Below are 17234 nucleotides of genomic sequence, written 5' to 3' on the forward strand. Positions count from 1 at the left end.
TTGTATGACTATTGTATTTTACCACGATAAAATAGACAAGTGGTCATTTTAAAGGCAACTGGAGTGAAGTAGCAAAAACCATCTGCTTTGAAACCAGACTGCCTTTGAATCCAGGCTGTGTCACTCACTAGGTGAGTTACCTTAGGCAAGTGATTTAACATCTCTGTCCTTCAGTTTCCTCATCTGCAAACTGAGATAATAATAGTACCGACTTTACAGAATCACTGAGAATTAAATGGATTAAAAGAGGTAAATAGAAAAGTGGCTGGCACATTGTAAATTTTCAAAAATATTATTAATGTTGTAGTTGTTATTTTACAACCCCCTTTCCCTGGTAGTTTCTTGCTAATTTTTAGGGTTAGACGGTTTGGAGATTGGCTTTCTTTCTTCTTTCTTTCCTTCCCTCTTTCCCTCCTTCCTCCTCTCCTCCTCCTTCTCCTTCTTCTTTCCCTTCCCCCAGGCCCCTTGGGACTTTGGGGTAGGGGATTTATATCCAAGAAATTTGGATAATTAAGTGCCTCTTTTAACTTGAGACTTACTAGTCACTGAAGACTATAATCAGATATAAAAGTAAAAACAAACCATATTGCCACAGGATCTGAATACCCAGCAAACCTTGAAGTAAAATTAACACTTAAAATATAAATTTTATCAAGAGGTGTCATAAAAGTAATGATAAAATAATTTTGGTCATTTTTCTACATTTGTACCAGTATAGCCATCACTATATCCTGAAATCATCCTCTCCTCTATGTCTCTCACTTGATTATTTTTAACAAGAAAGGCCATACACAGGCAGCCCAAATGACTATGTGGCTAAGTGGTTTACCAATAAAACACAGTTTATTCAGACAACATGCCTCTTAATCTTCACCGGGAAAGGCACACACAGCACATTATATAATCATCTTGAATTTCAGTTTAAATGCTTCCTAATTCTTACTACGGGATTTTTAAAAAAGGATTTTAAATAGGTAACTAGGGTTTCAAAAATCACAGAGTTTGCATGATACATTGGCTGTATTAAAATGAGATTACAGAATTGACTGTAGTGTCAATTCAATTGCCAGCTTTAGAAAGATCAGGTAAATGGTAAATGATAAATGTTAACTGCTGGGTTTCTTCCAATATAATGCACCATCAGTTGTAAGACGTTAAAAAATAAAGTAGACACTGCCAATTACAATTGTAGGATGCCATCAAATGTAAAATACAACCCTACTTCAGAGATGCCAAAAATGTAAAAAATATCAACAAAACTGTAACTTACAATCAATAAAATATAATATCATTATTAGCTACTAACAAATATTTATTGAGCACATTCTATTGGTCTATAGTTCAGCATTAGAAACTATTAGGTATATAAAAATATTACACACTGTCCCTGACCTTAAAATCCAGTTAGTAAAAGAAAACAAGCATGTGGAAAATTAAATAATGGTATGAGTTAACTAGTAATATCAAAAAGTCATACAGAATATACTACAAAATCATATAAGCATGGCTAAAGTTTAATTTCTAAGAAATAATCTTTCTTACCTTAAAAAGTAAAAGCCTTACTTTTTGAGGTTAATCAGAAAAGAGAACCATGGTATATTTACCCTCAAATGCCAGAAGCTGTGTTTTTTTTTAGTTTAATATTTAAAATTAACATTGAATATTAGCAATCCTCTTCGAGGATTCCTGGGCGCTTGCTAATTACAGATACTAACTCTTATATATAGCTCTACTCAATATGTAATAAATATTACCGTAAAGAATAAAGGTAAAAAATTGCAAGAATTTAGTTCAGAAAATTTCAAATGAATTCCTTCAGTGGCCCATGTTCACTTTTAACTTCTCCTGTACTCTCTCACAAACTGAGCAGGAAGAGATCAACAAAAGCGTCTTGCCCACAAAGGAAGCAGCTACTCTATAAAGGTTTCAACATTATCATGGCTTATGAGAAAAAGGACTTAACCATTTGTCAAGAATGTTAAAAAGTGCAAACAGTAGCATCAAAATTTTATTGAGAGATATGGGTGAGGATGTGTAAACTTTTTTGTAGTCAATAAAAACTGACGAAACTGTATTTTTCCAACTAACTGCTAAGAAAACACTGTTTGAATCTAAGACTTAAAATACCTAAGTTATTTCTCAGAAGAAAATAGAGTTTTATATCTCAAAAGTAGTGAGATCATAAGCTATCAAATATCATTCTTAAACAGATTCAATTAAAAACATATCTGTTTGAAAGTAGGCAGTTCTATATTGCTGATATAGATATACTTTGTGTTTTGTCTTTCAAAAAAGCAACTTTTGTTTTAAATTAAGAAGTTATGTATGGCAAGAATTCGATTCATCCTTGCAAGTGCCAATATGAATAAGAGAAAGCATACCAAAAGAGTCAGTGATCACTATTAAGTTAAAGGTAATGACAACATTGAACATCATATAATTCAAGGGGAATTTTCCTTGACATCTTACATATAAGACACTGTAGCAACTAATGGAGAATCAAAAAGAAATAAGAATTTGTCCCTGTCCAATCTAACAGAAAAGACAATAACTTAATTCAAATAAGTATATAGTAAAATATAATCAGCTCTACAATAGAGTTATAAGAAAAATGTGACTATACGCGTCAATTTTGTTGTTGATACCTTGGCAAGTTTTACAGAAGAGTTGGCATTTAAAACAGGTCTTGAATAGGTAAGATTTTAACAATTGAGGTTGAGATTGAAAAGCATTCCAGGCCAAGGAAAAAGCATGGAGAAAGAAAGTTACAGAATCTGTAAGGGAATTGTGGGAAGGCCTGCCAGTTCAGGCTCCATCAGGAGGTGCGTGCCAAGGGAGATAACAGAGAAGATAATAAACAAAGACATTGGAAGAGCCTTCAAACCTATATCAAAGGTTTGGTCTTCAGAAAGGAGTTTGAGGCTTAGCCAAATTTTGAGTAATCAAGGCTGTACCTTCAGAAGATTAACTGGACCACAATATGTAGGATATACTGAAGGAAAAACGGGCGAGAGGTGAGCTGACAGACAAGTTAGGAAGCTACTGCAATCATCTTAGCAAAACATACTGGAAGGAAAATGTTCACTCACTTATAAAAAACTTTCTGAGGGAGAAAATGATGGGTTTAAATATCAACCAGTTATGTGAGATGAGTCTGATGGTGGCAGCTTGTGTAACTCAGAGGATAGGCAGAAAGAGTATATATTTTAGTGATGTCTGACCCATAGAAACCCCAGACACTGAACTGTTTGTCATCAAGAGGGAAGAAAAGGCAGTGGTAAATTTTAGAGTACACAGGTTTTACGGGATTTTGTCTGAGCAGAAAGTCTGAATAGAAAACCATTCAAGATGCCTTCCAGCTCTGTTTTGCTTGACTGCCTATAGAACAGCTGTTTCTGAACTGCCTTTGACTTTACACCATTGGATTATTCATCTATTCGACAAATATTTAGTGAGGGCTGACTGTATGCCAGGGACAGTTCTAGACAGTTGGGACAAATCAGTGAAGAAAAAACAAAAACACAAAAAAAACAACGAAAAACTGAAAAACAATTCTTGCCTTCAAGGCTCTTGCATTTTAGTAGGAAGTGACAAATGAGAAACAATGTTTGTAGCTAAATAAGTGAAGGATATCACGCATTCGAAGTTTAAAAATGCTATGGGTGGAAAAAGGACCCCTGAATAAGAAGGATGAGGCATGGTGACTGCAGGGTGAATGAGGGGTAGGGGTTAGGGGTATAGTCCACATCAACAGATGTTACAGTCACAGCCTTGGAACCATAGTGTAGTGTTTATCTAAGGATGCTCTTGAGAACACTGTTCAGAACATCCTCTAGTTTCCTCTGAATGAAAGCACCTGGGAGAGTTGTTAGTTTCTACAGAGTACCTGACTTCTGGCCACCAGGAATTTCCTAAATGATCCCATTTTCTGCTTGGCACTAATGGCCAGAAAGCTCAAAGCTAAATCTGTGGTCTTCTTCCAAAAGGTAGATAAGGCCTTATAGCATTTTGTAACCCGTCTTCACCATATTTTCTGAACATTCATTTTCCAATTGCTCTGATTTATTCAATTATTTTTGTCTTTTAAAAATTGATAACACTTATTGCATATATTTATGGAGCACAATGTGATATTTTCATATATGTTTACATTTGGGATGATTAAATCAAGCAAATTAACCTATCCATTACATCATATGTCTTTTTTTGTGATGTGAATGTTTAAAATCTCTTTTAGCAATTTTGAGATATGCAATACATTAACTATAGTCACCATGCTGTGCAGATTTCCAAATTTACTTCTCCTAACTGACACTTGGTACCCTTTAAAAAATTTCTCCCTGTTCCCCACGTCCCCTACCCTCCTGTCCCACCAATTCACTTACTTTTATTTTATTCTGTATTTTTGTCAGCTAAAATCCAATTTAGACCTTTGGAGGTACATATAACTATGCAAAAATAAACTGCTAAATTTACTTTTTAAAAAAGTTTTTACCTTTTTTGGCAACAAAATTAGTGATTTTAATTAGGGTTAAACCTGTCAAAATAAAACACTTAAATAGTTACTCTATATGTAATCCCATGAGAAGTCCTAAGTATTTGCCTTCTGTACGTATGGCAGACACTTTGGGTACTTACATGAAATTCACACAGCCTGTGCCCGCAGGTGGAGCAATCCAGATGAAACTGAGGTTGGTTGTGGGCAGGTGACTCACGTGAGAGGCTACCACACTGCACATAAACTGGTTACCAAACTGGTGGTCAGACATGATCCCTAAGAGAAAGGAAGGAGAGTTGTTACAAAGACAACAAAACAAAGATCTTCCTATCATGGCATCACAGTATTTTCTGAATATTTTTCTTTCATGTTAAGGTTCTATGCTATTTGGCTTCCCAATAAGTTATGTAATTTTTCACTTTTTATTGCTACAGGGAAATTAATCACTTAAAATATTATGGTTAAAGGAGTGACCTGCTGGAATCATTGCTATAATATTTGCTTTGCTTTGATTTTGTTGATTGATTGATCTTTGCCTATCACCAAAAACCACCAGGACCAACCTGCAGTTGAACAAGGTTAGATTTATTGAAACTGTCTGCAGCAAGGGAGACCAAACGCCATAGGGAGGTGGGAGGCATCTCAGTAAAAGGATGTCAGGAGAGGCTTGTTAAAATATTTAGGCTTGTGTTAGGTTATTTCAGAGGGCAAGGTGATCAGGTTTGCTTGGAAAACTCCCCAGTCCTATTTGGGAGGTTTCAAGAAAAGGTCCTTTGCCTCTGGATTGGGTGCTATCACCCAGTCTTTTCACTGAGTATCTTAGTTTGTTGTTGCTGTTTTAATCTCAGAGACATGAGGGATGGGGTGAGGCTAAATCTGTGATTGGCAGAAAAGCAACAGCAGTCCTATTTGCATGGATGGGGATGTTGGTCACTTTCGTGGTTTGCTTCATGTTCTTAGTCTTGTCTGTGTTCAGCTATGTTAAAGAGTGGTCTTGTTTTTGCCTCATAACATCACAGTTGTAAAGTGGTCTTGTCTAATGTTGATGTTCTGTGACTTGCTCATGTTCAAAATGAGAACATCATGGCCTAGCTGTGAACAGGTCAGCTCCAAGCTGAGCTATCAGGGGATGCTTTTCTTTTTCTAATAAGGTGATTATCTTAGGTGTATCTCAGATATAAAATAGTAATAAATAACTCAACAACTAAAAAACAAACAACCTAATTAACAAATGGCCAAAAGACCTAAACAGATACCTCACCAAAAATGATACACGGATGACAAATAATCATATGAAAAGATATTCAGGATCATATGTCATTAGGGAACTGCACATTGAAACAATAATGAGATACCACTACACACATATTAGAATGTCCCAAATCCGGAATACTGATACCACCAAATGCTGCTGAGGATGCAGAGCAAAAGAAACTCTCATTCATTGCTGGTGGGAATGCAAAATGGTACAGCCTCTTTGGAAGACAGTTTGGCAGTATTTTTACAAAACTAGACATATTTTTACCATATGATGTAGCAGTTGTACTTCTTGGTACTTATCCAAGTGAACTGAAAATATATGCCTGACAAAAACCTGTACAGGGGTGTTTTCAGCAGCTTTATTCATAATTGCCAAAAGTTGGAAGCAACCAAGATGTCCTTCAGTTGGTGAATGGATAATGTGGTACATCTAGACAATGGAATGTTATTCAGCACTAAAAAGAAATGATCTATGAAGACATGCAAAGACATAAAGGAAACTTAATATGCGTATTACCAAGTGAAAGAATCTAATCTGAAAAGGCTACATAGTGTATAATTCCAACTGTATCACATTCTGGAAAAGGTAAAACTATGGAGACATTAAAAAGATCAGGAGTTGCCAGGAGTTAAAGAGGGAGGTAGGATGAACAGAAAGGGCACAGAGGATTCTTAAGGGAACGAAACTACTCTGTATGATACCGTATGGTGGATATGTGTCCTTATAAATGTATCCAAACACATAGAATGTACACACCAAGAGTGAACCCTACTGTTAACTATGGACTTTGAGCAGTAATGATGTGTCGATGTAGGTTCATTGATTGTACCAAATGTACCACATTCTGAGGCAGGATGTTGACGGTAGGGGAGGTTTTATTGTGTGTAGGGATAGTGGGTGTATGGCAACTCTGTGCTTTTTATTCAATTTTGCTGTGAACCTAAAGCTTCTCTAAAAAATAAGTTTATTATTTAAAAAATTACTAAAAGCATTGCCAGAAATGGGAAGTTAAATTTTAAATTTCTCTCATTTACTGGCTTTGTGACCTTGGACAAATGATTTACTCTCTTTGAGATCCAGTTTTCTTGCCTGTAAAATGGAAATACCATGCCTTCTATACCTTAAAGTTGCTATAAGTAGTAAATGGCCCAATACATATGACAGCACCTAGTACCCTATCTGGAAGCAGTGGTCTCTCATAAATCTTGATTTTCTTCCTGCCCACCAGAGTGATCTTTCTAAAATATAAACTTGTTCACACTGTTAATATTTCTCTTTACAAAACTCTCAATTACCCTTTTTTTTTTTTTTTTTTATAGGCGGAGTCTCACTCCGTCACCCAGGCTAGAGCGCAATGGTGCAACCTTGGCTTACTGCAACCTGCAATCTCCACCGCTTGGGTTCAAGTGTTTCTCCTGCCTCAGCCTCCCGAGTAGCTGGGATTACAGGTGCCTGCCACCACAGCCAGCTAATTTTTTTTTGTATTTTTAGTAGAGATGGGGTTTCACCATGTTGGCCAGGCTGGTTTTGGACCACAAGTGATCCACCCACCTTGGCCTCCCAAAATGCCAGGTTTACAGGCGTCAGCCACCGCACCCGGCCTACCTCATATTGTTTGTAGCTGCACTGTCTAATATGGTAGCTGCTAGCCACAGCAATTATTTAAATTTAAATTAATTAAAATTTGATACAATTAAAAATTCAGTTCTTCAATTGCACTAGCCACATTCCACATGCTCAATAGCACATGTGGCTCATGGCTGCCACACTGGACAGCACAGAACAGAACATGTCCATCATCATAGAAAGCTCTATTGATGTCACCGGCCTTCAAGAAGACTCTGAATAGTTAAGACTCTGAATTTGCCTCTCACTGCCTTCTCCAACCTCAGTTTCAGCACTTCTTGCCCCCATGTCTTGCCCACCTTCTTGCACTCTGCACACCCAAAATGCCAAATGAACCCTCCTCTATCTTCCTGCAAGCTGTACCCTCTACCTAAAATGCTCTCTCTCCTCAACTGCTCTCAACCACCTGACAGATCCTACATGAAGATTTGGCTCACTTTCTGCTTTTTCAAGCCTCTCCTGTCCACTTCCAAGCAAACCCAGGTAGCTACTCCTATGGGTCCCCACTGAATCTTTTACTTAATTCCAACACAGCACTTAGCCCAAGGCATTTGGAATATTCTGCTTCTTAACTTTCTTTACTTCTTAAGCTCCTTAAAAGCACAAAGCAGGTCTACTAATCCACATTCCTCTAGCATCTAGTACCTTACACATAGTCAAACATTCATTTTTGTTATATTTTGGCCTTTGGTCTCTTGCTTTCCTTTGAAAGGACTCCTCAATCCCCAAGATTTAAAAAATATTCTCCTATGTTTTCTTTCTACTATTTTATTTTCACATTGACATCTTTAATGTTTCTGAATGTTATTTTGTTGTGTGGTACAAAGAAAGGATTCGACTTTTTTCCCTAAATGGTCCTAGGTTCCCATCATTCTTCCCCTGGCATATCAGGATTACTCTTCACAGGTCTCTCTGTCCTGTCTCACTCCCATGTTCCATCAAAATGATTTCTCTAAAAGGCATACATGATCATGTCAATCCCTGTGAAATCTACTTACATGGCTCCCATCAGATTCTAGAGAAATACAAACTTCTTAGCATCAGTTAGAAGGTTTGGGAAAATCTGACCCCTACTTGCTCTCCCTGTACACATTTACCATCCTTTGTGAACCAGCAATGCCATCACTCTCAAGCACTAGTGGCTGAGCCACCCTCACTCTCACCTCTAAGCACATGCTCTGCTTTCAATACAGCAGGCCCCAGACTTTTGCTCTCCTCCCACCCATCCTTCTTCTCTACTAGGCTAACTTCTATGTGCTCTTCAAGGCAAGGCTCAATGTAGTCTCTGTCTAACACCAAACATTGAGAGAAATCACTTACTATGCTAGGCCTAATGATACAATCAGACATGGCCCAGTCCTCAAAGACTTCCCTCACTGCCCCTCCCTCTCTCACTGCCCACTCGCTGCCCACTCACTGCCCCTGCCCCATGTTTGGACAGATGTCCTCCCTCTGTGGCATCAGAGCAGTTCATACATCCCTTTACCTCAGCACTTGACCATCTCCCCAAGTTGTCCATGTGGGACACCGCTTTTAATCTTTATATCCCAAGTGCCTGCCACAGTGTCTGACATATCACAGATTCTCAAGAAATATTTTCTGAATACATAGAAACGGTAAAGACTGTAAAAAAGAAAAGAAGGGCCAGGCGTGGTGGCTCATGTCTGTAATCCCAGCACTTTGGGAGGCCGAGGTGGGTGGATCATGAGGTAAGGAGATCCAGACCATCCTGGGTAACACGGCGAAACACCGTCTCTACTAAAAATACAAAAAAAATTAGCTGGGTGTGGTGGTGGGCGCCTGTAGTCCCAGCTACTTGGGAGGCTGAAGCAGGAGAATGGCGTGAACCTGGGAGGCGGAGCTTGCAGTGAGCCGAGATCACGCCACTGCACTCCAGCCTGGGCGACAGAGCGAGACTTCGTCTCAAAAAAAAAAAAAAAAAAAAAAAAAAGAAGTAATTTCTGAATAAATACAACTTATAATACAAATTATTTATTCAGGAGCAGGACTGGAAAAAAAACAGAAATTATAACACATATTTCACATTAACTAAATACAATAGAATATTCCACAGTATAAAGTTGTTCAGAATAGGTCATAACTGGTCTAAAATATAGAAAAACAAATCTATGTTTTGACATATCCAAATGGTGTTCTTTTTCCCATGCAAGACTCTACATTTTTAAGCTGAATACTGAGACAAAAATCATCAAGCCAGAGAAATCACAAGGTTGGGGAGAATAAGAGAGTCCCAGGAAAATCACAGAGTGCCCAAGGAGACTCAATAGCGTGACTCAGGAGCTGCCACTCCCCTCTGGTCAGGCATAAAGCAGGGATCAGGTGTATGGAAAATGACAAGTCTGCAGGAGTCTGCCTGGCCAAAAAGGAAAACAAAGTCCTAGCCACAGTCCTGTGGGAAGGGAAACAAATCAAGCAAAATAAGGTTTCAGCGTTATAGAGCCTTAATAACAGGAATCATGGTCAAATGCCTCCTGATTCCTCAAAACCCCTCTTCAAAAATGAGTCAATGTCTAGGCCACATATTACTTGACAATTTTATAAGTTGCTACCTTAACGTCCTACCTTGGGTGAATATGCCATAGAACAATATTCTTGCAATCTAACATTCTAGCATAGTTCTCCCAGTTGGCTGCCCAGTGGCACCAGGAGATTTAATAAATACTGTTACCCAGAGATTCTGAGTTAACTGTTTTGAAGTATGGTATGGGTATTGAGATTTTGTAAAGCTCACCAAGCAATTCTAATGTCTAGCCAATAATTTGCATTAGAAATGTGCCTTAGTAAAATGTGTAAAATTCAGGGCTTAGAGTAACACTATTCATATCATTATGGTGTCAATGTACAGTTTGAAGAAAGCCAACAGTATCTTACATAATGTCTCTGGTAGTAACACAAAATAACCTATCCTCTCACTCACTAATCCTAAAACCATCCCAAACATGTATTCTCTGGACCTTTCTATGCAACTTCAAACACTATGACTATACAGTGGTCTTTGCTTTTTTTTTTTTTTTTTTTAACATAGAACACTGGCATATTATACTGCTACACATTGTAATTGGCATTTTCTTTGAGAACATGTAAACATCATCTAGAGTTGCAACTATTAGAAATCCATTGATCTAAAATCAACCAGCAAGAAGAAAATTATTTACAGAATTCCTGTTTTGCAACAGACACTGTGTTAGGCTCTACGGAGGTATATAAAAGAAATAGAGAACATAGTCCTTGCCCTGATATGACTTGAGCTGGGAAGAGAAAACTGGAATAAACTAACATCTTAAATAAAGCAGCTAGAAAAGAAGTAAGTGCTACTTGGGTGGTACTGATAAAAAATACAATATAAGAGTGAAAAGTTATTAATAAGGACAATTATAATAATCACAACTAATGCTTATTAGGCACTTACTATGACCTGGCACTACTCTAAGTGCTTCATAAATATTAACTTATTTAAGGCCCTTCACAACCCTATGAAGTAGGAGTGTTACGTTCTTCATTTTACTAATTAAGACACTGAGAAAATAGAGTGATATGGTTTGATACTATGTCCCCACCCAAATGTCATGCTGAATTATAATTCCCAGTGTTGGGGGACAAACCTGGTGGGAGGTGACTGTATCATAGAGGTGGATTTCCCTCTTGCTGTTCTCGTGATCGTGAGTTCTCACGAGATCTGGTTGTTTGAAAGTGTGTAACACTTCTCTTTCTCTCTCTCCGGCCATATGAAAACATACTTGCTTCCCCTTCACCATCCACCATGATTGTAAGTTTCCCAAGGCCTCCCCAGGAGAAGCCTGCACAGCTTGTAGAACCATGAGCCAATTAAACCTATTTTCTTTATAAATTACCTAGTCTCAGGTAGTTCTTTATAGCAGTGTCAGAATGGACCAATACATGGAGATAAAAGAATCGGTTTACGTTCATTCAGCAAGTGTACGAAGTAGCCTGGATTCCAGTCAGTGCCCTTAGTCAGAAATGGCTCCTATCGGAGTGTGAGACTGGAACTGGGTCTTAAAGAAAAAGCTAAGATTTTCCGTATTTGTTTTTATTTACACAAAGCAGTAGAGCATAATCCAGAGATGGTTCCCTCAGTTCTGTTACACACTACTGTATGACCTCTGTCAGGACACCCCCTCTCAAGCTTCATTCTGACATCTCTAAAATGCTGGTCATGATCACTAAGACTCCTTTCTTTTGGGGCTCCTCATTGTAATCTATGAGTACTATTTAAATGAATACAAGAAAAATGGGAGAACATGACACAAAGGCAGACATAATGAGCAAGGGTGCGTATATAAACTGAGAACTAGGAGAATGAGAGAACTCAGAATCAGCTTCTCATGTTCTATGAAATGCAATTTACTGCATCCACCATGGTGATCTTTTTAATGCCTTTTGTACCATGAAAGAGATATACCACCTAATTAATATATGTAAGTTGGAAACCATTCTGGGGATAATTAAAATTTTGAATTTCATAATAAATTTAAATTTACATTCTGCTTTCCCTGCTGCATGCTGAATAATAGGATCCATATTGAATTTTTAATATTATTTGGAAAAGGGAAAACAGGATCCATAAAACAATAATTTAACTATGCTTTTTCTCAAAGAGATATGTACATATAATGTATATGTGTGTATGGTGTACTTATAATAATGATTTTATTTTCATTGTTTTGGTTATATGTAAACTTATGCAAAAAATGTTCATATGAAATTTCTTCTCCAGAGAAAGAGGCTATACTTTTTCAAGAGAATTGAGAGAAAATAAACAAGTCAAATGTGGCTCTCCTGATGTAGCTTTGGGCAAAGAAAGTGGAGTTTATCCTTCAAACTCCAAAGTTCTATAAAGTTGACAACTTTTTTGAGTAAGACTTTAAAGCATCCATTGTTACAAAATGTTTTTCTTTTGCATATTGTGTACAAACATCTTAAAAAAGAATCATAACTTTGCTGTAATTTCTGTACCAACAATCAATATCACTCTGTAAAGCCATGATTCCTTTAATAAAGTATGGATGTTTTAAAATCATTGTCATACAAACCTTGGGTATCTAGACAACAAATATCAAATATTTGTCTTCTTTGTCAAAGTTGTGGTTGAAGGATAGGAATCAATAGCAGAGTTTCCTTTATCCACATTATACTTCAGCAAGATTTGACTCACAATGTCTTTAATTAGTTTAAAGTTGCCCCCACACTCTCTTTTAAGACAGTGACATACATTTCTGTTCCTTCCAGGATGTCATTTTCCTTGACAAGTCCTCAGTTATTTTAAGTTTGTGACTAAACCTTGTGTGAACCCCGTTTTCCCCCAGGAATACTTTTCTGTGCTTTTAATGTGCACTCTTTGAGTCTTCAAAACGGTAACTAGAAGTTCTATGATCCCCCATCTCTACAAGAAAATGTACATATGTTCATAAAAATGTAGGCTACTCGCTTCCAAGAAACACAATGAATATTTTATTACCAAAAATAACCCACCTATTGATAACATTACACATTCATGTTGGGTCAATTCTATATTTCATAGATGAAAGATGTGGATTACTCAAATCTCTTTAGTTTATAATTTGCCATGGTTAGTGTTAAAGTGGGTTCAACAAGCCTTGGTCTATTTTTCATGGGTTTCAAGAACTAAGACATCTGTGGATAGGGTATTACCAAACAAAGGGCAAGTACATTAAAATTATGATTTTTTTATGTGAAAAATATAACCCCATATATAAAAATGATACAATTGTAAAAGAAATATTTTATTATTTCAAACACTTTCACAAAGCTTGGTACGATATTTTTTCAGGAAGTTTAGCAAAGTTATCACCTTATGTCTACATAAGAAGTGTAAGCTAAGAATGGCACAAATATCTAAGATGATTTCCATTTCCTTTCCTTTTCATCATTTGCTCTTTCTTTAAAAGGGATATCTAAAGGCTTCCATCAGTTAATAAAAAAAAAAAACACAGACTGTTCTGAAAATGTAGTTTGGAAAGTTAGTGTTATATTGTAAATGAAAAAGAAAAAATGAATTATAGAATTCCTTTTTATCCCTCTTTAATCTGTTAATTCAAATATGAATAACTGTCTACTTACAGAATTTGGCTTGTCTATTATTTTCTTTCTTTCCTAGGTCAATGTACTCAGACATTTCAACAAAGCCAAACATGATTTCATATGCTGAAAAGTAATCATAGAATTTCCTAAAAACACCCTTATTGCAGCTTATCTGTGAAGTACCAGCCTGATGAAAATAGGTATGAAAACAATAGCTCTTAAGTAGAGTAATGCTACAAGATATTGAATAGTACGTGCACACACACTAGCACATATACACTGTGTATATTTACTTTTCAAAGCACTGATTTGATTATTTGGTTTCAGATTTAAGTTTAAGAAGCCAAAAAGCACTAAAACCTTTTAAAAGTCATTCTGGAATTGTGTATCTATGGACTTAAGTTAGAAATGGAAGAGAAACTACCTATTTCCACACCTCTAGTTAGTTCTATAAATAGAGCCAATTCTAAGTCAACTTGATTCTTTCCTTACTCAGTGCACTTAAAAGATGAGATGTCTTGATGCTGCCTCCCCATTCCTCTCCCAGAACTACCATTTACTGAATGCCTCTCTGTGCCACGTTTAGAGAGGCAGGAGAGGGGAAAAGTTGACAGCATAGAAACCCTGTCTGCCTATGTTTAGAACCTTGCTCACTGCCAAGGAGTTGTGGAATCTTGGGCAGGTTACTCTATCATTCTATTCCTCAGTTTCCTTTCCAGGAAAATGAGGATGATAATAATAGGGTAGCTGTGAAGAGTAAGTGAGTGTACGGCACACAGTGTTGTACATGTTGGCTATTATTATCATTCCCATTTTAAAGATAAAGGAACCAAGACTCAGGAAATTTTTTTTTTTTAGGAGACAGGGTCTTGCTCTGTCACCTAGGCTCAGGTGCACTGGTATGATCACAGCTCACTGCAGCCTCAACTTTCCAGGCTCAAGCAATCCTCCCACCTCAGCCTCCTGAGTAGCTGGAATTACAGGCACACACCACTACGCCCAGTAAGACTCAGTAGATTTAAGTGACTTGCCAAGGATAATAGGACTAGTGAGTGGCATCTGAACACAGGTTCCACTACATTGTCTGCTGGCTTCCTCCCCACATCCCTAAATAGTAGTACATTAGTTCTGGGAAGACATGTGTCCTGATCCAATAGAAACCCTGTCCAAATCCAGTTATAGAATGCAAACCATCTGAGAATAAACAGGAAGAGAGCCCTTCCTATAAGGCACAAGCTTAGGCTCTCTGTCTTTTTCTCCAAATGCCTAAATTTTTCATCAGTTATTATATACCCTTTGTCCTCTTGGTAGACACATCTCTGAGTTAGATACAGATATGAGTGAGACATTTCTAAGTCAAATGCTGTTCTCCCAAGGGGCAAAGCCATCCAGTTATACTTGGGTCTGTGTGACCACTGAGTTTGACAATACAGCATCCTTTTCAAAGAGCTGTGCAGACTCTGCCCTGCCTGTCTGTAATGGAAGCTCTCTGATCTGCTGGCCCAAAGCTTATCTCTGCTGCCTTCTCTCCTAACACTGCATACTCTCCCTCCCTGCTTAACAGCTGCATGGTGGTAGATAATCACTTCGCACTGCCTGCCCCCAGCCTCTCCTCAAACTAACGGCAACATGCTGGCTACCTGTCCAGAAATATATTCTGCCTCACCACCTGGTGCCTGCTCCTGTGACCTGCTCTCTTGTGTGTTTAATTCACAACCCAACTTCCAGTTTAGGAGTCAGATTTTACACATATGCAGGCCACAGAAAATCAAAAAGGAAGAGGCTTTACAGATACAAATCCAAGCCATGTAGGAGACTAAAAAGAGTCTCAACAAAGCTTTCTTTAAAACAAAACCAAAATAAAACTATCACCAGGTCCTAAAAGCTACCTCCAATATTCTCAAGCCTGTCTTTTCTCTCTCTCCTCAATGCCAAAGAAATGCCCAGTTGACCTATCTGGGAAGTTTACTACAATATCAAAATTACTACTCAGCACCATGATTCAGACTTCTGCCTACCCTAATGCTCAAAAAAGAGAGAAAGAGAGAAGATTCTGGACAAACTAATAACAGCTAACATTTGCTGAGTATTTAATGATGCAGGCAAAGTTCTGAGTGTTTTACAAAGATTAACACATTTTTTCATTAAAAACCCTAAGAAGTGTTATTATTATTCCTATTTTATACAAGTTTAAAGGGGTTAAGTAAGTTGTCCATATCACTAGTGACTTCAGTGACTACTAGTCACATGGGATTCAGCCCTGTCAATTTTTAGTGGTGTGATCTTGAACAAGTTACTTAAACTCTCTAAGTCCCAGGATCATTATTTTGTTATAGATAGATAATAAGATCTACTCAATAGAACTGTGGGAATGATTAAGTAAAACAATTCATATTGTGAGGATTAAATGCTAAATTTCATGTAAAGTGATTAGGATAATGTTCATTAAATGTTGAAATTTTATTTGCAGAATTAAAGAATATATCTCAGTCCCCTCTGTTTCTACTGCACTCAAATAAAGTGTCCATTTAAATAGGTAAATGAGCTGGAGATCACTCATGCTGAGCATGAAACCCCAGCCAAAGTAAGGAACAAGAGGCAATGATAACCCTTGTCTAACTCCAGAAACGCTCTGCATGTAGAAACAGGATCTGATTATTTTAACTGTACATCCAGACTGGCTAAACTAAAAGAATTATCCATAGCAATGTTTTGTCTAAATAACCTGTGATTGCTGCCATATAGAAACAGCTCCAGGTAGAACCGTTTTATCAAAAAAAAATTTTTTTTTTTTTGCTAAAATTAATGTTCCCATGGTCTTCACTCTCATCCTCTTTTTTTTATTGTTGTTGTTGAGATTGAGTCACCCAGGCTGGAGTGCAGTGGTACAATCTTGGCTCACTGCAACCTCTGCTTCCTGGGTTCAAGTGATTCTCAGGCCTCAGTCACCTGAAATATAGGCATGCGTCACCACGCCTGGCTAATTTTTGTATTTTTAGAAAAGACAGCATTTGCCATGTTGGCCAGGTGGGTCTCGAACTCCTAACCTCAAGTGATACACCCACCTTGGCCTCCCAAAGTGCTGGGATTACAGGCACGAGCCAAGGCACCCGACCCACTCTCAACATTGTGGTTGACCACTGTAGCCCATACTGGCTGCTGTCATATCTGTAAAGTGATCTGTCACCCATTTAGTTCATGACAGTGTTCTCAATCTATTTTTCAACATCATCCATCTAAAAAGCCTTTTTAGACATTCTCCTAATTTTCCCCATGTAATTTTTTTAATGATGTAATATCATTAAAGTCTCAGGATACAAAATCAATGTGCAAAAATCACAAGCATTCCTGTATACCAATAATAGGCAAACAGCCAAATCGGAGTAAACTCTCATTCACAATTGCCACAAAGAGAATAAAATGCCTAGGAATACAACTTACAAGGGACGTGAAGGACCTCTTCAAGGAGAACTACTCAAGAAACGACTGCTCAAGAAAATAAGAGAGGACACAAACAAATGGAAAAACATTCCACGCTCATGGATAGAAAGAATCAATATCGTGAAAATAGCCACACTGCCCAAACATTCCATGCTCATGGATAGGAAAGATTCAATATTGTGGAAATGGCCATACTGCTCAAAGTAATTTATAGATTCAAATCTATTCCCATTGAGCTGCCATTGACTTTCTCCACAGAATTAGAAAGAAACTATTTTAAATTTCATATGGAACAAAAAAAGAGCCCATATAGCCAAGACAATCCTA

The 17234-nt window shown here is 37.5% G+C and overlaps 1 protein-coding gene across 2 annotated transcripts in view; it reads right to left on the reverse strand.

Annotated features, from left to right (window-relative positions):
* Positions 1–17234, reverse strand: part of RELN (reelin) — a 517870-nt gene that overhangs the window by 357110 nt on the left and 143526 nt on the right. For both annotated transcript variants that reach the window (NM_173054.3, NM_005045.4), the window contains exon 3: positions 4639–4774. In NM_173054.3, the coding sequence (NP_774959.1) occupies positions 4639–4774 (136 nt within the window). The remainder of the gene's footprint in view (positions 1–4638; positions 4775–17234) is intronic.

This window comes from Homo sapiens, chromosome 7 (assembly GCF_000001405.40).
Source record: "Homo sapiens chromosome 7, GRCh38.p14 Primary Assembly".
Lineage (NCBI taxonomy): Eukaryota > Metazoa > Chordata > Mammalia > Primates > Hominidae > Homo > Homo sapiens.